The following is a 26,995-nucleotide window of genomic DNA, read 5'->3' as shown; positions in this document are numbered from 1 at the left end:
TGTATTTCTTCTTGATTTAAAGGAAAACTTTCTTTAGTTTCTTCTTATTGTAGTTCTTTATTTGCTTGCCTTGTTTTCTGCCCAAATTTCAACAAGGTACTTCAGAAACAAGACACCAGAAGGAATAAAAACAAAACCAATAAAAAGGGGTAAGAAAGCAATTATCATGCTAGTATTTATGCAAAATATAAAGCAAAAAATAAAAGATACTGAATAAAAATCTGAAATTACAATCTTGATCATGAGATATTACTCAAAGGCAAAAGCAAATAAAAATTGATTGATGAACTTAGCCAGTTAGATTCTATAACTGGGAAATGCCCATTCTAGATCAATCATGGTTGTATTTTCAAAATAAAGATATTGTCAAAAATCTAAATCAAACCCACTAATAAAATGGAAATGGTAGGCAGAATTGGAAGAAGTACAAAGATTCACATGATAAAACAAGCATTAAATGAATGTTAAAATACAGTTTAAGCTATCAATTAGATTAGCCTTAAGGTATTTCTGAAGTAATAAAATTAATTTTGAAACATTTTGCATCATTTGAAAAGTTATATACGCATTCAACAAAAGTGATACTGCACAGCTATTGGTCTCATTTTAAAATTCTTACTTTACATTTAAACATATTCTACCTGTTGTTTTAGATCTGGCTTATCCTATTTTAGAATGGGCTGATTTCTGTATTTCAGCCCTAACACAAAATCTGTGCCAGAGTATTAGCTTTTCCTCATATCTCTAATGGTGTCCAGTTTCAGCTCTACAGCAGCATCAATCTCATTTTTGTTTTTAACTTAAATATGTAGTACAGAAAACCCTTTGGACCTATAATCACCATCTATAACCTAACTTAACAGTTCTAAATATCATGCTAATGCTGATAGTTCTACATTCTGAAAAGCAATCAAGGAAATTTTCATTATGTCAGTAGATAACTCTCCTCTAGTTAAGGCCACAGTTCTAGTGAAACAACATAATTGACTTTCTAGTCCATGTGTAGTACATATAAACATACAAGTATATATATTTCATGAGCTAGAACCAGAAAATACATAGAAAACAATTCTTTCTGTCTCCTTCAGTGCCAATGCTTTTAATGATAATCCAGAATATGAAAAACCATAATGAAGATGAACATGCTACAGCACCGTGAACATACACAGAAACATATTTAAAGTGCTACCTGTGATGACAGGAGAAAAAGAACTATTAATGCATAGGAGGAGATGTTAATTTTAGTTTGAGATTGAGTAGGGAGTCGCAGTTTTTAAGAATCCAATAGCAAGTGACCTGGACAAGCAGAGAACTTCTCCTCAGTGCTTGCCTTTGGCACCGTGGATTAGGAAGACTGTTCTCACTTCTCACCACCCCAGGTTCTCTCTAATCCCAAAGGTACTATTTCACTTCAGTGCACTGGCAAATGGAGGTTGGCTTCTTTTATAAAAAGACCCCATGTTACCCCAATTCCCAGCTTCCACATTTTGACACTGACTACTGCACCTTCATACGTTCATCTGAATGTTTCCCTTATAATCCATGTCTAGACCACTCACTACGATAAACTTAACTGACACTAATGTTTTAATACCGACATAAAAGTAAATAGGACTTTACCAACTGGAAGACCTCGAGTTTGACAGAATGAAGAGACAGAAACTTACTGATAGGACACAATATGAAATTGGTGCTTGAGAGCTGTTCCTACCACACGCAGGAAACGTCTTGTGAATGTACCCGGCATTCTCAACAGCAGTACACAAAACGGCTCTGCCACCAACAACATTCTTACCCAGCAGGCAGCCCTCCTCATTAGCTTTGACATGCCACACAGCCCTTTGCTTACTGATGCAGTGCAGCCAACAGGGAGAGAGTTTACGAGTAACAGCGAGACTGAACTGGCTAATTACTTACCTTCTCACTTATGGCAGGCTTGCTTGTTTAACTTTTTGTTTCCTCTCTTGTCATAGCTCAGAGCCAAATGGTTATGAATCAGCAGAAGTCTGAACCTGACAGTTAGAAAGAATACATTTTCAGAAAAAATTGGAAATTAACATTCCCTCCACTGCAGTCTTTCTTTCCTTGCCCTCTGTGTGCATGTTACTCTCCCGTTTTCTCTCTATGCAAGGCAGCTACGTAGTGGTCTATAAATATTGACCCTGACACTTGCTCAGTGCTTTACTTGCTCATGGCACAGGTCTGTGTTACTGAACACCGTGGTAATACTCCGGCAAAGTTCTCAGCTGCTCAGACAAAGCTGTGGATTGGCTCACTACCCAGCAACCCTGTGCTTGCCTGGAAATACCATTCTGCTGCCAGCTTTACAGATGCTATGGGCCTTTCCTGAGGCCCAAATCAGGCACAGAAGGGCAATTATTAAGTTTGTCTGAAGAAATACAGCTTTCCTCAGGTAGGTGGAGAAAAGTGGGGCTAGGTGGAGTCAAAGACAAGAAAGGAAATACTGCCTTTGTTTCGGCCAAACAACACAATCTCAAACCCTTTATAAAAGTCATATCTAAATGTCAGTCAATCAAGCTTTATAAAACTTAATTATGACACATTATGAATCCAAATGACACAGGAAAGCAGTTTTGTAATTTTTTTAATATTGCTTCTCAATGAGAAAGGCTGCAGTGACTAAGTAATTGGTCACAAAAAAATATGTCAACGTAAGTTCATTTAGAGAATGACAGAAATGTATAGGAAAGTATAACATTAATCAGATACATCATATATTTAGTGAAAGATGCTAAAATATAACCTAAAATTATAACTCAACACAATATTTACAGTTTAAATATAAACTTCTATATTTATAACAACTTAAAAATTTAATTTTTAGATTAAGGATAGATTCCAAGCCATGACACTACAGTACATGGTTTGCAGGTGACATAAACAAGATACATAGTATCTCCATATACCACCTATAAGGTCCACAGTATAAATGAGTAGAAAATAAATCAGCCCATATTTTTTACTTCTTGTCAAAGATAATCATTTGTTTGCTTTACTAAAATTTTCTCTTGATTAAATCAAAGGTAAAGGAAACTTTTGGGAGACTCTGGTCACTTACTCATCTTACAGATAAGAAAATCAACCCCCAGGCTGGTTACTTTGCCCAGGGTCACATGGCAACTTTGTGACAGAGCCAAAACTAGAAACCTTGCCTGATTACTTACAGTAATGTGTTCCTTCTGTTAGAATGGTGGTTCTCAAAATCATCTTTAGGCTCATCTTCATATGAAAGCTTACTAAAATCTTACCAGTAAATGCAAATATTACAGCCAGAAAAATAACCAGCATAGAAGAAAAATAACTTTCTACAGTGTAACTGACCAAAAAAAAAAAAAGTTACACATAAGAATTAACTTTCAAACTATTTGAAATCCACCTCTCCTTGCTTAATGCAAAAATTAATATTCATCTAATGAATTAACTTATTGTCGACACAGGTATATAGGTGCTGAACAGGCAAAGATAAAACATAGTTCCTACTCTTAAAGACCTTCCAGGTCTAATTCCAGAAAAACAAAATAGAAGTTAAATGTAAAACAACGTAGCAAGAAGACTAGAGGAGGAAACCATGGGAGAAGGGAAAATGAGCATCTGAGCCAAGAGGTAATTCCTCACTCCAGACTTCTGGATCCTAAAGAATGGGCAGAAGGTAGTGAGGCAAAGGGAAGAATAACACAATCAAGACAAAGGCAGGAAAGAGCACAACACATACTTAGAACTTCAAATAGATCTTTCTTGCTGGAGCTTAGAGTGTAAGACAGAAAGTAGTTAAAAACAAAACAAAACCAACTAGAAGGAATAAGGTGATGAAGGATTTTATAAGCCAGGTTGACAAACTTGGGTTTTATAGAGTAGGATAGCCTACCAGGTTTTAACTGCCTTTATTCACAGACTCTTAAAAGAATTTTGAAAAATTATGTAACCATTTACACATTACCAAATTGACATATACAAATTTTCACCTGTGGTAAAATATGTACTTGCAAAGAATTTAATTTCTACCCTATTGGAAATATTGACATTTTAAAACAAAACACATCAGCTATTTTAAATATACTCAATAGCATCTAAATCTACAATAATTTAATATAATCACTATGTATTTAAGTAACACACAGAGATACTTATTTTGGCAGCTGAAATTTACATTGCTATTTATTTTCTTGACCTTTATTTCCATCTCGCTGCCTCACAGAATTTTTACATATTTTAATAATTAAGTCCTCAGTTGTTCACCCTGTCATACTTTTTTTTTTTTTTTTTTTTTTTTGAGATGGAGTCTTGCTCTGTTGCCCAGGCTGGAGCGCAGTGACACTAACTTGGCTCACTATGACCTCCACCTCCTGGATTCAGGCAATTCTCCTACCTAGGCCTCCCAAGTAGCTAGGACAACAGGCATGTGCCACCATACCTGACTAATTTTTGTATTTTTAGTAGAGATGGGTGTTTTGCCATGTTGGCCAGGCTGGTCTCAAACTCCTGACTTTAGGTAATCTGCTCACCTCGGCCTCCCAAAGTGCTGGGATTACAAGCGTGAGCCACTGCACCCGGCCACCCTGTCATACTGCAATACAAATTTAATGCATTAGTTGAATTTTTAATGTTAAATTTTCTATGACTCCAGGATAATGCACCATAATAACATTTGGGATGGATAAGGGTGTGCTTTTCTCTTGTAAGGTAAGAGAAAGAGTGTTATGAATAAAGGACTATTCTTAGCCAGATCAATATTAATAAAGAGTTTATGTAGAAGTGGATAATCTAGACACTGATTCCATTAAAACTACCCATTCAACTGCCAAGGGAAAGAAACCAGTCTGAAAAGGCTATATACTGGGCTGGGCACAAGTGGCTCACATCATCTGTAAACCCAGCACTTTGGGAAGCCAAGGCAGAAGGATTTCTTGAGGCCAGAAGTTCGAGACCAGCCTGGGAAACATAGCAAGACCTTGTCTCTACAAAAAATTTAAAAAATTAAATAAAAAACTTAAATTAGGCAGGTGTGGTGGCACACACCAGTAGTCCCAGCTGATGTGAGAGGATCCCTTGAGCTCAGGGATTCGAGGCTACAGTGAGCTATTGACTGTGCCCCTGGACTCCAGCCTGGATGGCAGAACAAGACCCCATCTCTTTAGGGGGAAAAAAAAAGATTACATACTTTATGATTCTAACTATATGGCATTCTGGAAAAGGCAACACAATAGACAGTGTAAAGATTGGTGGTTGTAAGGAGATGACAGTGAAACATGGGATTTTTAGGGCAGTGAAACTACTCTGTATGATGCTGTAATTGCAGATGAATGATATTATGCATTTGACAAAGCCCACAGAACTGTAAAACACAAAGAGGGAGGCTTAATGTAAAAAGTCTCTTCCTCTGTCTTCTTGAGGCATGTGGTCTAGAGGGAGTAGAAGTATTATTTATCAAGGACTGTCCAAAAGGGGCTTTGGAAATATTATCTCTAACACTAAAAACAACATTGGCAGATGGTTATGTTTTTACCTTTTTTTAAATAAAGAAAATGAGGCTTAGTGTTACTAAGTGGCTTGTCTGAAGTCATGTGACTAATAAATTCTAGAACTGAGATTCAGCCCAAATCTGTCTGGCTGGACTACAGTACCACATAAAGCCTTTATAGCAGTCACTGAAGATGTATAGGCCCATGCCCAGGCAAGGTAGTGGATTAAACAGTGCACTCACAAACTCAGGACGGATTTGCTGTATCCTGCATTTCTCTCAAGGAACTGCTTGAATTTTAATATTGAGTATTGAGGGGTAGCAGAAAGATAGGACTAACAAATTAAGCAGTGGATTAAATTAAAGTAACTGATACACCTTACTAAAGAGAACTTAAAGGTTTTTTTAATCCTCAATTTGACTGATGGGCAAGGAATACATGAAGAGTCAAGCGGGGCTCTTCTCTGAGTGGCTGGGTCTCTGCCAAGGCAAGGTTTTGGGAGGAGAGGGCAACTTTGGAACATGGAGCTGGGAAGAGCAGATGGATTTAGTTTGGGACATGATGAACTTTAGATATCTGTGTTGTACTGAAGTATGTTCAATGGGCGTTTAAATATACTAGTCTAGAATCCTGGAGAGATGAAGACTGCATCAATTCAGTAAGTAGTTTTGTATTCTTGGTTTCCTGGTTCGAACCTTGTCACCATATAGTCTATTCTCAGCACAGAAGTAACAGAAGTCACTTAAAAACCTCACTCAGATTACTTTCATCTTCTAATCAAAGCCCTGTACTGCTTCCCCATTTTACTCAGAGTAAAAGCTAAAGTCCTTTTGATGGTCCATATAGCCTAGCCCCACTTTATTCTTTCATCTTGTCTCTGACAGCATGGACTAGGGACCCCCTCAGTTTCTCAGCTCCAACCCACTTGTCCTCCTACCATTCCTTAAATGTCCCTGACCAGTTTACCCTTGGTATCCTTCTATTTGCTATATGTTCTTGCAGAGAGCTGCATGGCTAACTGTTCACGTTCAAGTCCCTGTTCAAAGTGCACCTTCTCAGCAAAGCCTACCACTCTCATACTATTTAAAATTGCAGACTTCCTTGTTATTTGCTATTGCTTGTGTCTTCCCCATAGAATATAGGTTCAATAACAGCATAGACTTCAAGTCCCTAAACTGAGCCTTCTACATAATGAATGCACAATAAATATTTGTTAGATAAATTACTAAAATAAACATTTATGAGCAACACGCCAATAAAGGTGGCTCCCAAGGTCATGAGATCTCTCAGAAGTAGCATGTACAATGAGAAGTAAACAAAAATCAACATTTACAAAGTAGGTCAAGGAAGACAAGGGCATAAAGACTGAAAAACAATTATGAGGTCAGTAGAAGGAGAATGAAAAAGGGCTGAATGAGGACAGAGTCAAGGACTGAGGGGTCAACAATGTCGAATGTCATGGAAAGATTAAATATGAAAGAGACTGAAAAAGGCCATTACATACAACATTCAGAAAGTACTGTGATACTAAAAACCACTGAAATGCACAATTTAAAAGGACAAATTTTATGGTATATAAATTCTATTTCAAAAAAGCAGTTATTACAAAAGAAAAAGCACTGGCAGCTGAGCTGTTTTCATAGAAGGTGGGAGGTAAGCAAGGAAAGTGAGACAGGAATCAAGTCACTCTTTCAAAAAGTTCGGCCACGAAGAAAAGAAAAAGGATGGGGTAATGCTTTAAAACAACAAACAATACCTAATGTTAAATGACGAGTTGATGGGTACAGCACACCAACATGGCACATGTATACATATGTAACTAACCTGCATGCTGTGCACATGTACCCTAAAACTTAAAGTATAAAAAACAACAACAACAACAACAACAACAACAAAACCTCATTCCAGCATAGAGGTTGAGTACTCTGAAGTCAAGCAGCCCTGTGTTTTCTTCTTTCTTCAGTTACACTGTAAGTTACATATGTGACTTAGTTTCCTCATCAAAGAAATGGATTTAATGTTAGTACCTGCATCACTGGGAATCAATAATTCATTTTATTGTTGAATAGTATTTCATTGTATGGGTATGCCAGGTTTTATTTATGCATTCATCAGCTAATGAACATTTGGGTTGGTTTCCACTTTTGGGCCATTATGAATAATGCTGCTATAAACAAGTTTTTGCTTCAACTTATATTTTCTTTTTCTTTTTTGAGACGGACAGAGTCTCATTCTGTTGCCCAGGCTGGAGTGCAGTGGCATGATTTCGGCTCACTGCAGCCTCCACCTCCCAGGTTCAAGCGATTCTCCTGCCTCAGCCTCCCACGTAGCTGGGATACAGGCGCCTGCCACTACGCCTGGCTAATTTTCACATTTTTAGTAGAGATGAGGTTTCACCATATTGGCCAGGCTGGTCTCAAACTCCTGACCTAGTGATCCACCCACCTTGGCCTCCCAAAGTGCTGGGATTATAGGCATGAGCCACCATGCCCGGCCTCAACTTATATTTTCGTTACTCTTGAGTAAATACCAAGTAGTAAAACTGCTAATATGCTAATTTTATGTTTAACAGAATAAAGAACTGTCCAACTGTTTCCCAAAGTAGAATTTCACTGTGACTTTAATCTGCATTTTCCTAGTGATAAATAATGTTGAGCATCTTTTCATGTGCTTATTAGCCATTTGGCTATTTACTTTTGACTTTTAGTAAATATAATTTCAGAAAACCCCATGACCAAATAAAGCTTAAAATATGTTTTTGAGGACCCAAGAAAGTTGTACCTGGCATAAACAGAGCCACTTACTTGTTAACTGAATAAATAAACTAATAAATAAATGAATAAGGAATAAGAAATATTTTATTTATTAGTATATTGTTTCAGCTTTTAAGATGAATTTGAATTCCCATACAATTTCAATAGAACTTTTAGTAAGGAGAAGCAGCTTTGGGAAAAAAATTCAATTGCAAAGAAAATGTGCTAATTCTCTGTTCATGATTATGATAAATACCTATATTGGTACTTTTAGCTTGGTAATAATAAAATACTCTATCAGATCAATGTTAGGTAACTGAAATTGTAATCCTGTTACATTAATGCTTTAATTTAATGCTTCCTTGAAATTGGGTGTTAAGAAATCAAGAAGCTAAGTAGTGAATGATTTTTTTTGTTTTTTTTTTTTTTTTTAGACGGAGTCTCGCTCTGTCACCAGGCTGGAGTGCAGTAGCACAATCTCAGCTCACTGCAACCTCCACCGCCTGGATTCAAGTGAGTCTCTTGCCTCAGCCTCCCAAGGAGCTGGGACTATAGGCACGCACCACCATGCCCAGCTAATTTTTGTATTTTTAGTAGAGACGGGGTTTCACAATGTTGGCCAGGATGGTCTCGATCTCTTCACCTCGTGATCCACCAGCCTCAGCCTCCCAAAGTGCTGGGATTATAGGCGTGAGCCATCGCACCCGGCCGTGAATGATTTCAAAATATGTTGTTGACAAAAACTTAGTTGTGAATACTACAAATTTATGTAATGAGACATTCTTCAGGGGAAAATGGGTACAAGCAAAATATTAATAATCCAAGCTAGTCCTCATTTTTCACCTGAGGGAACAGGTGACGCTCAGTGTAAATGAATGAGGAGAAAGAAAATTGACTCTAGGATGTGCCTCGTTAGAAGTAAACTACAAACTGTTTTTATCCTTTTCTTTTCCCAAAAAAAAGGGGCTTTTTTCATACTTTAGGGACCTACCATTAGGCATATCACATACAGACTCACTTACCTTTAACTCTAAGGTTCTTTGTTCTCAAGTAATAAATAATTTGGGCTCCCAGGACCCCACAGGAAAATCATACATAAGTCTACCAACCTTACTGCTGCCACTTTATTGTAATACATACCCATTATTAGTATGAGAAGTATTGGCTGCTCAGTTAATAAATAGGTCATTTGTTCTTTTCAACTGAAATAATGTTGTATGTAAGTTGTAAACATGGAATAAACTAAATCCGGAAACCATAGCAAAGAATGGGTCTTTTTAAACTTTTATATGACATCACATAAACCAAATGGCAAACTAAACTAAAGCACTTTATCATTTATCAATAGAAATTGATCTTAAATTCATAGTGCATAAAATACACATAACCATAACCAATAATAAAACAACTATGTTTAATAAAATAAGGTAATAATGAAGAATGAAAAGCATCCAGAATATCAAGTTATTTTTGTTATAGTTGTTGCTAATTGAACCTATATTAAAAATTAAAACTTCACTGATTTCTCATCATGTTTAATAATAATAGGTGGGTTTCCAGCTGTATTATCAGTACTTCAATTTCTTTTTCTCCTAGAGCTAAATGTATATTTATATGACATGAAGGACAATATCAAAAGTGTTATTTAAAATAATAAATATTCGCAATATAATTTCAAGCATTTTCTACTTTTTAAAAAGGCTGCAGTTCTTAAAATCATCATATACCTGTAAGTAGAGATTTCTTACAGGTAAGGAATTAATCCTCACTAAATCAAAAATTTCTACAATTACTCCAAATGGAAATTAGATTAGGTCTATGTGACAAGAGACTGGATAAGAACATTTAATTCCATTAATCTCTGGATGATTCTAATATCCAGATGATAAATCATTATCTGACATTTTAAACAACTGTTTTCTTTCATTATAAAGGTGTAGCTGAATTCTCAATGTTTCTTTTTTAGAAATGACTCATTAAAGGATATTTTCATTCATACAGATACCCATAATTAACAATATGCTATTAATTTTATGAAATAGTTATGTCTAGAAAAAAAAAACTGCCGTATATTTGATTAGGCAGTGCAACCGGAATCTTAAGAATAAGAAGTATCTTTCGAGGGGGGGTCAAAAAAGTGGTCCTGAAACCATCCATGCCAGAGAGATTTATGTCAGCTAAAAGGAAAGAAGCAAAGATTGGTGGATTCCCTAAGACAAGCTAAAGTCATACATCAGAATGGAAAGGGGAAAATCCCAGGAAGGAGGGACTCAGCAAAAACCAACTCAATGGTCTCAATGGGAGAGGAGAATATTTGTCTACCAAGTTTAAACTGACTTTCACTGTTCATTAATTATATGGCAGTAGCTCAGAAAATATCACTGAAAGATTAAATTTAGGCAGTGAAAACAGGAATGTGGATTAAGTCTGAAAATTCATTAAAAAAACAAAAACACTGGTCTATTTTACAGCTCCATGATAAATACACTTTCATATGGAAGATTTAAATTGCAAAGCTCAGGAATATCATTATTCATTTTATATATGTATATATAATATATATTTTATATTATATTATATATTACATATATTATATATAATATGATATATATTACATATATATGATATATTATATATAGTATATTACACATATATGTATATGTATATATACATTATATATATTACATATACATATATACATATTATATATACATATATAGTATATATAATACATATATAACATAAATATTATATATTATATATATATATATTTTTTTTGAGACAGAGTCTGGCTCTGTCGCCCAGGCTGGAGTGCAGTGGCGCGATCTCGGCTCACTGCAAGCTCCGCCTCCTGGGTTCACGCCATTCTCCTGCCTCAGCCTCCCGAGTAGCTGGGACTACAGGCACCCGCCACCACGCCCGGCTAGTTTTTTGCATTTTTAGTAGAGACGGGGTTTCACCGTGTTAGCCAGGATGGTCTCCATCCCCTGACCTCATGATCCACCCACCTTGGCCTCCCAAAGTGCCGGGGTTACAGGCGTGAGCCACTGCGCCCGGACCATTTTATATTTTTAATCAAAATATATTTTTTAAAAAGAGGAAACAGTAAGAAATAAAACAAACTAATCTTTGTAAAAAATGAATGAAACATCCATTAATCTTGTTTGGTTCACATATAAAATGTGGTTGTTTCTACTTGCCATTCTGACTGACAAGGCCTGAAATTTTCTTGAAACGTGGTGTCAAAAATAACTAAAGAGTAATGAAAAAAAAAGGACTAAAAATGAAAAATCTCACTTCTATACTTTGGTAGATCTGAACATTGTCACGTAAAATACATTGTCAAGACCTGATTAAATTAGACTTTAAGATGGATGGAAGCAATTCTTTTGGTTTTTGAAAACTTTACGTTCATGAGATTACTTTAAAGTGGGTGAAAACTGACAGGAATGTACTCTGAGTTTTGTTTTGTTTTGTTTTCCATCCTCTAATTTACTTCAATCTGGTATGAGTCCTAGACTGAGCAAGAACAGAGGTGCAATTGAGCTGAGGAAATATAGTAAAAGTAGAAAACATAAGAATAAAGAAAATCCTTAAACTTTTTTTCATGACCCAATAAAGAGACGAAATAATGTTAACAAATAGCATGTCAATATAGTAATTAAACTACTTATGTTTTTGTTTTGTTTTAAAGGTAACTGGTATAAACCAATGAATCAAAATAATTGTTTTATATAAATACTTATGTTTGGAAAAATATATACAAACTGCCCCCTTATAATTGATACTTAACACCAGTAGAGAAAATGAAAGAATACAGTCCAGGAACCTCAAAAACATGTCTAAGGACTAAGGGATCCATGGTGCTTGGGTAAAACCTCTCTTACGGTCCAACTCCTAACAGTCTGTAGAAATCTAACGACTCACATTTATGTGGCACTTTATATTTTTATAAGTGCTCTTTCATTTGTTCATCGGGATAGGCAATAAGAAAGTATCCCTACTTTTCATATGAGGAAAGTGAACTTCAAAGCAGGTAAGGGAATAGCCCAGTGTGTGAATGTTCGAAAGAAATATAGATAGAAACTGAATTCAGGTCATCTCACCTTAAATCTTGGGCCCTTACTACTATATCTTTCAGTAACACCACAGGAACAAATCTCAGCAAAATTATTTTCCTATAGGAAAACACAATAATTACCATGGAACAGAACGAAGTCTTCCAATTTAGGGCATATATATTTTTGTTGACAATGGCCAACACACACACACACACACACACACACACACACACACACACACACACACAGCTCTTATTTTGGTTTCTCTGGTGTTGGTTAATGGCAGTATCATTACTTAGTCAACCACACTAAAAATTTCAGTGTCTCACTTCTGCTCTCCCCTATTTCCAATTAGTTACTATCTACTCGAGATTCTTGAGTATATTCTGAATCTCTGGAGCTTGTCTCCTTTTCTTTCCTCTGTTCCTACTGAAATTCAGACTTAGCTTTTATCTAACTTTAAATACTGAAATGATCACAATCTAGTCTCCCTGGCACCACTTTCCTTTCTCCTCCATCAATCTTCTATATTGCTACTAGGCTGATTTTTTTAATCAAGACCTCCTCTGGCAACAGAGGGTTCAAACTTCTCAGCATAGAATAAAGGCCTTTCCACCACCTTGACCTTGCCCTGTCCTTTCAGATTCATTTCCCCCTTTGCCCATAACAGAAATCCCACCTTATGCTCTCTTAACGTACCATGCCATCTGTTCACAGGAAGTGCCACGTGTAGACTTTCCATACCTCTGTTCACAGAATGACCTTCTGTAAACCTTTATTTCTATACAGTAACATTTAAGCCAGAACAGAACTATATCCAAATATGTGAGAATGCAGATTCAAATTAAAAGAAGGAAAACTACTTTGGATGCTGTAACTCTGGTATCAAGACACTGCTTTCATTGCTTGCTGTCTCCTTCTTAGAAATGTGACACTGGTAGCGTTTCCTCCTAAAAGCAGAAGGGAAAAGCGCACACCAGTTTCCAGGCTTACAGCAGCAAAGCTATGACAATACTGTGGTGTATTTCACAAGGACTTTGGGAACCTGAACAGAATTTCTGTCCTGAACACCAATTTTTCTTTCTCTGTTTAATTACCTGTGTAATTTTTAAAAACACGATAAAAATATGTCCATTTCAACTGTATGACTGTCCTTTTGAAAAACCTAGTCATCTAGCTATTAGGTAAAATTATGCATAGTAGTACTGTAGAGATTTTGAAGAAGGATACAATCTGAAGGGGCAATCCTAAGTAGTATTTAAGTGCTAAAATTATGACAAAAGTAGACATGGAGCTAATAGGGCCTCTACATAGGGATTCTTAAATATTTATGTGCCCAAGGACTGCTACAATTTCTTTTGGGTAGAATAATGAAGTTCAAAGTACACTGATGAAAGTTTTCATTGAGTTTACTGGCAATCAATACCATTTAAAAGCTACATTTTAAAATGCATATCAGGTGTTACTGGAAAATGCATCTATCTGAATAGCAGCTATTGAGAAGTTTATCAAAAAGAGTAAATAATGTATAAAAAGTCCCAAGTGAGTGATGAAAACCTTATTCAGATGACAAGCCACATATCAGTTGGAAGTCAGTGCACAGACTTATTGGCACCAACAATGTTTTCTTAATTTCCTAAGTGTGCATAACACCATGCCCTCCCCCTCCAATTGGCTTAGTATATCGTTTTTTATTGCTTTATTCTATTAAAAATTACTTCAACTCACTTACATTCCTGACAAATCCATTTTATAATTTTAATTAGCAGTTCTAATCCTTCTCATGGAACATTTCTTATTTATTTTATGCTTTCATTCAATAAACACTTGCTTAGTACCTGTTATGGGCCTGGCACTCTAGACACAATCCCTGTTCCCAGTGAGGCTAAAAGCTAGTGAGGGAGACAGACTGGTGGCTACATCACTACAATTACAATACGGCAAAGGCCATGAGATAAACATGCAACATAGAAAATAAAGCTTCCTGGAGACTGAGCTCAGAGAAGGCTTTGTGGAGGGGGAGGTGATACTTGGGTTCTTAAAATAGGAGACGTTAACCAGAAAGTATATGACAATTTCTAATATGGGACACTGTGGTAAGACCAAAATATGGCTTTGGAGTTAGGGCCTTAAGTGGTGGTAACAGGCTTAATATCACTGCCCTTAAATTTTCCATATTGAGACTATCACATTTCTAAGTGTACTTCCTCTCTGCCTGTTGACATTCATTTCATTCTAGGTCTCTACTCAAATTTTTTAAATGTGATTTCATGTAACTTTTTGGCAAAAATAAGATGTAATTATGAATATTACCAAAATCATTTTCAATTAGCATTTTTATTCATTTGTTTAAAAAACACTTATTGAGCAACTGCTATGTGGTAGGCTTAGTTTTAAGCGTTGGATATATGATGGTGAAGCAGCGTGTCAGGTATCTTCTCTCATGGACTTTACATACTAGTGGGAAAACAAACACTAACAAATGAATGTGATAATAACAAATAGGGAAAAAAAGCAATAATAAAATTTAAACAGAATAATGTGATAATATTTGGGAAAACAAAGCTTTAGACAGGGAAATTCAGAAAATGTCTGCTTAAAGCAGAGCCCTTGGAGCTGACACCTGAATGGTGAGAAAGAGCCAGCCACGTAAAGACCTGTAGGAAGAGCATTCCAAGCAGAAGAAACTGCTAATGGAAAGTTCCTTGGTTAAGAACAATCTTTAGTATTCAGGTGACAATTTTTTTTTCGTTTGTTTTTTTTTTTCTTTTTTGAGATGGAGTCTGGCTCTGTCGCCCAGGCTGGAGTGCAGTGGCACGATCTCCTCTCACGACAATCTCCGCCTCCCGGGTTCATGCCATTCTCCTGCCTCAGCTTCCCGAGTAGCTGGGACTACAGGCGCCCACCATCACACCTGGCTAATTTTTTGTATTTTTTAGTAGAGACGGGGTTTCACCGTGTTAGCCAGGATGGTCTTGATCTCCTGATCCGCCCGCCTCAGCCTCCCAAAGTGCTGGGATTACAGGCGTGAGCCACCGCACCCGGCTGACAAATTTTTTTTAATGGTAAAGAGGACACATGATGATGTCAAATAAGGAGATGGTGGCCAAAAGGCATGGTTGTTTTTGGCCAGTGGTTCTTAAATCGTGCTGCACATTAATATCAACGAGGACTTTTTTAAAAATCCAGATACCCAGGACATATCCCAAACCAATGAAATCAGAATTGCTGGAGTAAAAGGCAGATGCCAGTATTCTTTAAAGTTCTCCATGTAATTCTGATAATGCAGCCAAGGTTGAGAAGGACTAATTTAGGCCACAGTAAGAAATTTAAATTTTAGTCTAATTACATAAGCAGCCTTTGGAAGATAAAGATTTCACCTGAAACTTTCGTCATGCATCTGATTGTTTAATTCCTATCTGAATATTTGGTTTGTTTGTTTTGTTTTTTTTTAAAAAAAGGCAATACACCTTTGGATACATTTCTTTCTAAAGTAAATTCTCTTTAAGAATAACAAAAATGAAAGCAATTCTTGAAATGCTTGCCTCTAAAAACTCAAATAATTTAGGTGAAAATGAGTTCTTCTGGAAATACCCAACACAATTAAATCCATCTCAGATTCATTGTTTTTTATGTATTCTCCCTGTGCATTCTGGAATACATTTGCTTATAATTTGTGGGTAACTTTGAATCTGTTAGGAGGAAAAGATACTCAAAATGTAACACAGTATCTACATTTTGCTTACATTATTCTTTCTGATTCCTCCTAAGACTGACCACCAGGATTCCACTAGTGTGTGTTCTCTGTGTTCTTAAGCCTATCTGCTGAAAGGGCATATCATTTTGCAGCATGTAATTCTGGTAAGAGTTCACCAGCTACAGCTGTATAATTCAACTGGGAAATATTCTGAAAAGTGAAGCTGATTTACTGAAACTATTGGAACCTAAGAATCATCATGGGTTTACATGATGATTTTAAACATTTAGATACGTTTATCAGGCACAGTTGCCATTTCTATTGTTCAATTAAACACATAGGATAACTTTCCTTAGAGTGTATTTAGTGGAAAATAAAGTCTCCTAATCATAGGTTACATTTTCCAAGTCTTAGTGTCAATTTAGGTTCTTATTTTTTAACAGCTGAAATCATCCATAAACTAAGCAGGCTAAATTAAATTGTAAGAAAATAAAAAGCAATGAAGTACTGGTCACATTTCAGAAAGGCAAGCTAATCAGTTAAAAACTGATTTAACTATCATGTGGTGTGAGAGTCCTAAGAGTTCCACTGGTAGAGCTTCTCCTCGTGTTTCTATTAGAAATATTAAAATATGCTAACTACTTGAAGAAATTTAATTAAAAATTCAACCATTCAATAGAAGATAAATTTGCTGGGCATGGTGGCTCATGCCTGTAATCCCAGTGCTTTGGGAGGCTGAGGTGGAAGGATGATTGCTTGAGCCCAGGAGTTCAAGGCTGCAGTGAGCAGTGATTGCGCCACTGCACTCCAAACTGGGCAATAGAGCATACCCTCATCTCAAAAAAAAAAAGAAAGGATAAATTTATGAAATTCCATTATTTACCTACCCAAAGCAATATTTTACCTAACTGCATATATAAGTATTACACTACCAATTTTTTATCTAAGGGAATTTCAAGGTAGTAGACAAATTTTCTGCACAATCTATTGGTCATGGAATTCACTGTATATGAGTTAAAATGACAACTTCTACTTTTTGTGTGTGTGTGTGTGTGTGTGTGTGTGTGTGATGGAGTCTTGCTCTGCCACCTAGGCTGGAGGGTAGTAATGCAATCTCGGCTCACTGCAACCTCTGCCTCCTGGGTTCAAGCGATTCTCCTGCCTCAGCCTCCTGAGTGGCTGGGATTACAGGACCGCACCACCACGCCCGGCTAATACCCAAGTATTCTCAACTTGTATTAAGTACCTGTCTTCCCTTGTCTAGTAGACTATATTGTTACAAACTTTGATTTGACAATGATTTGTATTCATTCATTCACTAATTTTTCCAACCCACCTATTCCAATTCAGGGTTTTGGGTGGCCAGAACCTATCTCAGCAGCTCAGGGTGCAAGGCGGGAAATAACTCTGGACAGGACACCATTACCTCACAGAATGCACGCACACACCCACACTCATTCTGACTGGGACAATGCACATATGCCAATTCACCTAATGCACACATCTTTAGGATGTGGAAGAAAATTGAAGTACCTAAAGGAAACCCACACGGACATGGGGAGAAAGCCAGACTCCATACAAAGAGGGGCCTTGGCTGGGAATCAATTTTTTTTCTCATCAATGTCACTGAAGAAAACAATGCTGAACAAGGCATTACTTGAGGACCTGTTGTATATCACAGAGGAATTTACCAGAGGGTGAGTGGTTGAGGCAAAATTAGGGCTACAACATGAAATAAGTAATCCTATTTGGAACTTAACTTATTCTATTATAACCATGCTTTGCCTATATTTTAGAAAATCATTCAAACTATAGTTAATTCACAAAGAAACACTGCCTTCAATTTTGTGATGAATAAATCTTATCAGTGGCCAGTTCAACTGCCAAAAAGTGGTGTGCTTTCTTAGGTACAGTAATAATTGCAGTGAACTGTGATGACTTATTCTGGTATTTTCCATTCATTTGATATCACCTTTAATCCTTTTAAGAGAGCTACAGGGAAGATCGTCTCCTGACAGCCCTGTGAAGATATATTTGTGTTTCAGGCAGGTAGCAGTTTTCTGCTCCTTGGTTTTCACAAGTTGCTGCATACCTGGTACCCCCACAAAAACTAGCTGGATAGTGTTGCTGCTGAAAGCAAAGGGGAAACCGGAGTAATAAGATGCAGTGAGCAGGATCCAGCCTATGCAGACTAAACATCCGAAACAGTCCAACATTTTCCAAAGCACACGTGGCCCACATATGTAGTGACAGAAGATTAGCCAAGCTGGTGTGGCCAAGAAGAAAGGAGATGCTGGCAGCTGCACATTCGTCGCCTTAAATGAAGTTTTCACTATTCATTTTTATGAAGTTTAACCATATGGTTCTTGATATTTGAAAAGATGAATTTTGAGAATCACTGGGACAATCTGTCAATACTTATACAAAGCTAGATTTTAGAAAGAGATGTAATTTTTCTTCACTTTAAAGGGATATTTTTCCTCTTTTCTTACAAAAACACAAGGTTTCTATACCTGGCCAGTTAAAACTATTGCCACTTAAAAATTCTGCATGTCTGAGAACCTGATATAACTTAAAACATGCACCACCCACAGTCATAATTTTGGCTTTGCCAGAGAACTTCAAATTTGATTCACTAAATACTATAGAAGTTCACTAGATGTTTATATAGTAAAACTTGAGGATGAAAACAAAAATATGTGTAAGTTTTTTTTTAACATAAAAGATTCTGTGTCTGTCAACATCTATACCTACAGTCTATTAACTTTGGAGTTGACCTGTAAAGACTGGATACAAAGAAGTATGGATGATTTCTTTTTAATTTTTTTATTTTTGCAAAGATGGTGATATGGTTTGGCTGTCTCCCAAACCAAATCTCATCTTGAACTGTAGCTCTCATAATCCCCACGTGTCATGAAGGGACCCCGTGGGAGGTAACTGAATCATAGGGGTGGGTTTTCCTGTGTTGTTCTCATGATAGTGAGTAAGACAAAGAAGTAGACAGATTTTCTGCACAATCTATTGGTCATGGAATTCACTGCATATGAGCTAAAATGATGACAACTTCTACTCTTACCTTTCGTGTGTGTGTGTGTGTGTGTGTGTGTGTGTATGTATGTGTGATGGTGTCTTGCTCTGCCACCATGTAAGGTGTGCCTTTGCTCCTCCTTCCCCTTCTGCCATGATTGTGAGGCCTCCCCAGCCATGTGGAACCGTGAGTTCATTAAACCTCTTTTTCTTTATAAATTACCCAGTCTCAGGTATGTCTTTATTAGCAGCATGAGAACAGACCAATACAGATGGCCACTACAATCTCTCCCATTCGAAATGTTCTTCTTCTGTTGTCTTTGAGACTCCTCACATTGAGAGGTGGGTTCTAAGTTCTTTCTACTTAGATCCTGATAAGCTTATGTCTATGACAAATGTGATATTATATGATTTCCCATGCTCGTACCACCAATAAATGTTTGGTGTGTGAAAGGCAGGTCATAAAATTTCATTCAACACCACCTTACTCACCAGAATGTGTTTTTGAAGTCTTTCACTACCACTTTAGCAGTCTGCTTATCCAGAGTACACTATGCTGGCAGAAAGGCCAAACCATCCAATGTGGAAAAACTAGAGAGACCTTGAAACTACACGAATAAAGAGATGCCTGGACAGCACCTAGCTGATTCAGCCTGTCACTGTTCCAAATGCAGACACCATCTGACTGCAAATGCATGAGAGACCCTAAACTAGAATTGCCCAGTTGATGCCTGCCAAAAATCCTGGCCCACAGAAACCTTAAAAGGTGATAAAATTGTTTTGTTGTTTTAATCTACTAAGTTTTATGGTTATTTGTTAAAAAGCAGTAGATAACTGGAACATACTTTGATAGCAGAAGTGAGTGCTATAATAAAAAAAATACTCAAAACATGTGGCATTGGCCTTGGAACTGGACAGCATATGGAAGACAGAAGGGCCTGCAAGAGATTGTTAGTGAAAGCCAATGGGCCTCAAGAAATATGGCTGTGTGGGCTTCAGAGAAATGAGGATTAAGTTATTGGAAGGAAGAGATTCTTGTTATGTACTAGAAAAAAAATAGCCATACCATTGCCCATAGTGATGTTGAAAATAGAAAATATACCTAATAAAACTCCAACTACCTAGCTAAGAATATTTCCAAGTAGAATACCGAAAGGAGCACCTGGCTTCCTTTTGCTTCTTTTCTTTTTCTTCTGTTGCCCAGGCTGGAATGCAGTGGTGCAATCTCCGCTCACCACAACCTCCGCCACCTGGGTTCAGGCGATTCTCCTGCCTCAGCCTTCTGACTAGCTGGGACTGCAGGCACGCGCCACCATGCCCAGCTAATTTTTGTATTTTTAGTAGAGACAAGGTTTCACTATGTTGGCCAGGCTGGTCTCAAACTCCTGACCTCATGATCTGCCCGCCTCGGCCTCCCAAAGTGCTGGGATTACAAGCGTGAGCCACTGTGCCTGGCCATTTTTGCTTCTTATAACACATGGACAGAGATAGATGAGTTTACAAAGAAACTTCAAATTCAGCAAAATTTAGAGGAACTAAAAAAAAAAAAAAAAAGGCATCTTGCTGGGTTTGAAAATAAAACTATTTTGCATTCCCTGTCACTCCAGAGAACAAAACAGTCTCAAAATAAGAAAGAGCTTCAAGGGAAAAATAAAATACCAGGTATAGTCAGAAAGACTTGGTTTACAAATAAAAGTAAGGGTGTGACTACCAAAACCCTTTAACACCAATATGATGGCACCTTATACATCCTTTAAGACAGACAAAAGCCTTCTAAAGATGTTAAGGGCATATGTAGCTGACTTTTTCTGCTCAACAACCTAACTACCAGAACCATCAGGGTGTTATCCCATCACAGCCTCACAGGGAATCTCTGGTAAAGAAGCGATTATTTCAAAAATGTAAGGGCATGGCTTTTGCTAATGGGGTAGATTATAAATTGATGCATAAGACACCCTCAAAATTTTAAAACTGTAACACCTGGAACTGAAAGGAAACAAAGACAATACAAAATTAAAAGTGACCTCTGGACACCCAAATTTCCATTCCCAAGAAAAAGGCAGAGGAAATTATCAGCTACAAATACAGGTCATGTTTTTTGGAAAAAGAATGATGAATCAGAAGATGGAAACCAGAGAACAAACAGGAGGAGCCAAGCACCACAGAGAACAATTCCCAGGAGATGGACTGATTACTCATTCAGCAAATGGCAACATGACCAACTGGGTTTCAGAGTCAGTATGGAATATAACAGCCTCTCATTTTCCCCCTTTTGAACAGAAAGAACTATAGAATTTTCCTATGCTTGCCCCACCATTGAATGTTTAGTGTGTGAAAGGCAGATGACTTATCTTTTTAGTTCAAAGGTTTTCCAAAGAACCTTAATTCAAAGGCTTTCAATATTCAAGAAGCCTTAGCCAAGGAGCCTTATCTGTGTCTGGAATTGATTTGGAAGACAAAACGCTGAACTTGAAACTAATGCAGTAATGGAATAAGACATGGGGGGTTTGAGGGCAGAAATGAGTGTATTTTGCATGTAGGAGAGCTATATAAGTGGTTGTGGTTAGAGGATGGACTGTGGCAGATTATATTTTCCTGAGATGACCCCAATGATTTTTCCCATTCCACATGTTGTTTCTTACATATAACTCTGACACTCAAGCCTTGGAGTCTATATTACCTCACCTTGAATTTCTGACCATGGCATAAATGAAGCTATCTGATTTCAGAGACTGGATCATAAAAGTCAATGCAGCTCTCACCTTGCTCACTGTAATACAGTATTCTCTCTTTAAATATTCAGCTGCCATATATACTAGCAGTCTGACTGCCTTGGGGCTGCCATGCTATGAGGAAGCCCAAATTAGCCCATGTGAAGGGACCACACGGCCAGACCCTGAGGTTATATGAAAAGTGAGAAGTGTCTGACTAGCCCCAGCTACTTCAGCCACTTGCTATTCCAACTCTAGTCGCTGCCTGACTGCAAAATGCAGGAGATACCCTAACCCAGAAGCAAATAGCCAAACCCTACACAAATTCCTGACCCCAGAAACTGGAAAAGATCGTAAAATTGTTACTGTGTTTTTAAGCCACTATGGATTTCAATGACCTGTTATACAGATAGAATTAATAGAAACAAAAAGCACCAATTACTAAACCTCATTTTGATTATATGTGGGAAATGTCACAGAAACAACTGAAAACAGCAATAGATACCTGGTAAAAAATTTAGAAAGAAAGGTAAAACATTTTCTTTCAATGACATTGTCTATAAATCTTTGGGAGAAATCATGAAATAAAACCAAAACAGGTTAGGTATTATAATATCATCTTCTTTTTAATACCATGATATTTTAAAAAACAAATTGGCTCATGCCTGTAGTCCTAGCACTTTGGGAGGTGGGTGGATTGCTTGAGCCCAGGAGTCCAAAACCAGCCTTGGCAACATGGTGAATGGCAACATGGTGAAATCCCACCTCTACAAAAAATACCAAAAAAAAAAATTTAGCCAGGCATGGTGGCGCATGCCTGTAGTCCCAGCTATTTGGGAGGCTGAGGTGGGAGGATCACCTGAGCCCAGGAAGGGAGGCTGCAGTGAGTCGTGACTGCACCACTGTACTTCAGCCTGGGTGACGGGATGAGACCCCGTCTCAAAAAAAAAAAAAAAAAACAAAAACAAAAGGAAATTAAGATTTTATTTATTAAAATGAAAAGAGTTCAGATTTGATCACTAAATTATCCAAGTCTCCAGACAAAAACCTCAATCTCTGAGAACGCTCAAGGCAACTTCCTGGACAGAGTTAATGGTTCTGTCCTCCTTGACACCCAATCAATATTCTGCGTCCTATCTATATTCTGGCTGAGGACACATGCCCCTCCTACTCACCTGCTCCACCACCAAAGCCCACATCCTGAGGAGACCTTGGAGCCTGAAGTAGCCCAATACCTTTTGTGGCACCGTAAATAACAAACTGGAAGTTTCGTCCTTGTGAAGTCTGTTGGCTCTTTACAGTTAGTGAAGTGGTTTCCTGGCTATATCTTGGGCTATGTGTAATCTGTCTGACTCAGAGCACAACTGAGAAAACAGAATGCAATAAACTCCAAAATATTTGTTCCAAACCCTTTACGGTTCATTTCTCTTAACTTCTCTGTTGCTAGGTAAAAATAAATGTGTGTCTATTTGTGTGTTTGGGAGAGTGGTGGGAATCAGGCAATTATCTGCATTTACAAAAATTAACTCACTGAATGCTTATTATGTTCCCTGCCTGTGCTAGGAGATTTGGGGACATACAAAGGTACAAACTATAAACGCTGCTCTGAAGCAAGTTTCAATACAGCTGGGAAGACTAACCTAATTAGCGAAAAAAAAGAATTATAAAATAAAACAATTAAGTGCTAAACTGTGCCTTAATCAGGTATTACAGCTTTACTCAGTCTTCACAGAGATGTGAAGCAAAGGAAAAGGTAAGAAATACAGCAAGCAGATCATGTTAAGAACATAAAAGGAGTCTACAAAAGGCAGACAACAGGTAAGTCAGCCTGCATCAGTGATTTCAGGACAGAGTTGGGAAGGCAATGAGGGATACATGAGGAGTCCTGAAAGCTAGTCTGACAAGGGCTGCAGGGAGTCAGTAAAGGTAGCTGATAAGATTCAGCATGAAAAAAAATGATATTTGAAATGACTCTTCTATAAAAAATGAATGATTAAAAATGTTATAAGTCAAATTAAATACCAAGCTAAAAATAATATATTTTTAGAAATAGAAGAAAGTGTTAATGGCCTTAAAATACAAAGAGCACGTATAAATTGGAAAGAAAAATATTAAATAATGGACAAGATCATACAATACACAGAAGACAACCACAGCCATAAAAATAATCACTAACTTCACTGGTGATCAAATAAATGAAAATTAAAACAACAAGAGTTTCTGTTAAGTAAATCAGTATAATTTTTAATAATATTCAGTGCTCAAGAGTATGCAGCAAAAAGCACATTCTTACACTGCTGTTGGAAGCATGAATTGACATAAACATTCTGGAAAGCAATCTGGATATATGACTGGAGTCTTTAAAATGTCGACATTGTAACCACTTTTTTCTTAGTAATTTATTTTGTAAAAATTTATCCAAAGCAAGGACCATAAATTTCAAGACAGAATTCTGAATTCAGTAAATGAATTCTGCATAATCAAAGAGTAATCACTACCATTTACCATCATGATACTGATAGTGATTTAGTACCTACTATCAACTGGGTTCTATGAAAATGCTGTTACTGATAGGGACGGAGGCAGAGAAATTCTAGGCAGAAAGGGCAGCGAAACCCCACCCTCAGTCACAAAGCCTGAAACTGAGGCCCAAAGTGAGAACTTCTATCCCTGTTTACCCGCTCAAATGTTGCCTTTTCCTAAACAACCCATGGCCCCACCCTGCCCTATCCTGTGTTTATAAAAACTCCAGACTCAGCCAGTAGATAGGACTATGGTAGGACATCAAAGAGAAGCAGCTTGACTTCAGAGGGACAGCTTGACAGTGTAACTTCGGAGAAAAATCTGGCAGGAGATGGTCAGACTTCATGGGAAGATGATTATCCGCCCTGTGCCCTTTTCAGCTTCTCTTCCCACTGACAGCCACTTTCATTGACAATAAAATTCCCCACAGTTACCATCCTTTAATTCATTCACGTGACTTCATTTTTCCTGGACACCAGACCAGAGCTCAGGAGCCATGAGTGTGGATACAAAAGGCTGTCACACTGGCCCTTTGCCCTCGCTGGCAGAGGGCAGCCACCTCATGCAAAAGGGTGAAAGGCCCACTGAGCTGTTAAGATTTGAGCCATCCACAGATGGCAGAGCTGAAAGAGCACTGCAACACACCCTCTGGGGTTTCAGGGGGTCATAGGCAACCCCACCTAGATGCTGTCACGGGACCCACATGGAGTTTGCTATTGCTGGTGCCCAAAAGCAGCTGACTGGATCCCATATTTGCTTGCCTACCTGCTCCCTCCCACAAGGGGCTGAGCATGGTGAGCCAAGTAAATGGAGTTTGTTCCTGCCAACACCCAAAAGCACTCGCTCTGGTTCCAGCACTCGTTTGCTCACACACTCCCTCTCACAAGGGGTAGACAGGGGCAGGCTGAATAAATGAGGCACCCCTGTCCTGAGTCCCTTGAAGGTGTCAAGAAAATACCCTGCTTCATTACCATAATAATTCTAATATTTAAATAATTTAAGGCCAGCATTATCTCTATTTTATGAATGGAGAAACTGAATAGCATAAAGTTACAAATCCAGAAACAGTTATATCCAGAGCTGAAACTTGCATAGGTCTGACTCTAAAGTTCGTACTCTTTCCACTGTCATGTTCACTGATAATTATATCCACTTATAAGACCAAAAAAAAAATGGAAGAAACCTAAGTGACCAATGATGAAATATTATGCAAATGTTTAAAGTAAAATTTAGAAACCTGAGATAAGTTCAAGGTAAAACATAAGAGTATTACAAAATCAAATTACAGAAACACATACAATATAATATTATGAACATGTATGGGTATGTACACCTAGGAAAAGTAATGAAAAAAAAATTAACCAAAATGTTATCTGTGGTTGTATCAAGTAATAGAACTAATGAATATTTCATTTTTCCCTTATAGTGTCTATGTTTTTCAAATGTATTAAAATGAGTATACATTTATTTAAAAGTCATAATAAAGTTATCTTTTTAAAGAGCAAATAAACAAGTTAGCTAATGTTACAGCTAGCAAGAGAAGAAATTGAACACAAATTATATATTTTAAGTAGATTTTATTCTCCCCAAAATACTCTGTAAAGAAGAGAAGAGTTCATGTTATCCAGTGAATTGATTATAGTTTTCCTTTACCGCATCATTTATTGTAGAAAAAATAAGCAGACTATTAAGAGGTAAATAAGAATTTTGTACATACTATAATTTGCAATGATACTATTAAGTTTGAATAATTAGTTCCTCTATTTCCTTTATTGATTCTCAGAACAAATTTATATCAAATGATCACTCAAACCATCAACATAAATACAATGTAATGTCAAAATTAAATGGCCTTGGAATCATTTAAGAGGCTCATCATTACTTTTAAATAAGATACTATACTTCTACAACTTTTATTTATAGCATCTTTGTCTTGAACATGAAAAATTTAAGGAGAGAAACTACCTATATTAGTTTAAAATTATAGGAGTATATAAGAAATAAACTGTCCAAACTTCCAATTTCATGGTCATAAACGTATTTAATGAGATATTTTACTGCTAATAAAATTTAGATTAATCTTGAAATTTATAGATGAAGATACTAGATGCTTAAAAAGCTCATATTTTATTTTAAAAATCTTAAATATTCTAGTAATATTAAATATTTAAAGGAGTAAGTCTATCAATAAATAAGCAGTAAGAGGAAAAAGAGTTATTAGATTTGATCTTTATGATGACAAGCTAAGATCAGGAAGAGAAGTAGAGAGTGAGCACTGCCTGCAATTGAGGCACCTCTGAATTAAATTAAAATATTGTATGTTTAACCATCACACTTTTATTGTAATATGAAACTTAGCACTACAATTAACTGACATGGGTGACAGATGATGAGACCGAACTATTTTTCCTTAAAGTGACAAGTAAAATAATAACATACCCTTAGTAGGTTTTATTTTTAGCAGTGATTAATTCAATTAATACATATGTTGTCAAATGCCAATGGGATACACTCTTTTCCAAGCAATAGACCTACTCATATTTTTTTCCACTCAAGTGAAACTTAACTCATCTAAAACACATCCATTACTAGAGGGAAAAAAGTTGTTTTTATTTATCGTATTTCATGGTCCAGTTCTCTTATTTCACAAGTACTGAAACTGAGTGCCAGTTTCCAAAACATTGAAACATAAGTAATTCATCAAATGTAAAAATCATTATTGATATTGCTGCACCACCATTTT

General features: G+C 36.9%; 1 protein-coding gene across 9 annotated transcripts in view; it reads right to left on the bottom strand.

Annotated features, from left to right (window-relative positions):
- Positions 1-26,995, bottom strand: part of BMPR1B (bone morphogenetic protein receptor type 1B) — a 400,496-nt gene that overhangs the window by 160,399 nt on the left and 213,102 nt on the right. For 4 of the 9 annotated variants that reach the window (XM_017008559.2, XM_047416091.1, NM_001203.3 and 1 more), the window contains one exon: positions 1,918-2,012. The exons of 1 other annotated variant lie outside the window; for it this stretch is intronic. The gene's annotated coding sequence lies outside the window, so the exon portion shown is untranslated. Of the gene's footprint in view, positions 1-1,667; positions 2,213-12,339; positions 12,412-22,904; positions 23,041-26,995 lie in introns of those variants that run through there. 4 more of the 9 variants (XM_047416093.1, XM_047416094.1, XM_017008560.2 and 1 more) reach the window with 4 other exon arrangements.

This window comes from Homo sapiens, chromosome 4 (assembly GCF_000001405.40).
Source record: "Homo sapiens chromosome 4, GRCh38.p14 Primary Assembly".
NCBI lineage: Eukaryota > Metazoa > Chordata > Mammalia > Primates > Hominidae > Homo > Homo sapiens.
The sequence above is the reverse complement of the archived record's forward strand: the minus strand, read 5'-3'. Positions and strand labels throughout refer to the sequence as shown.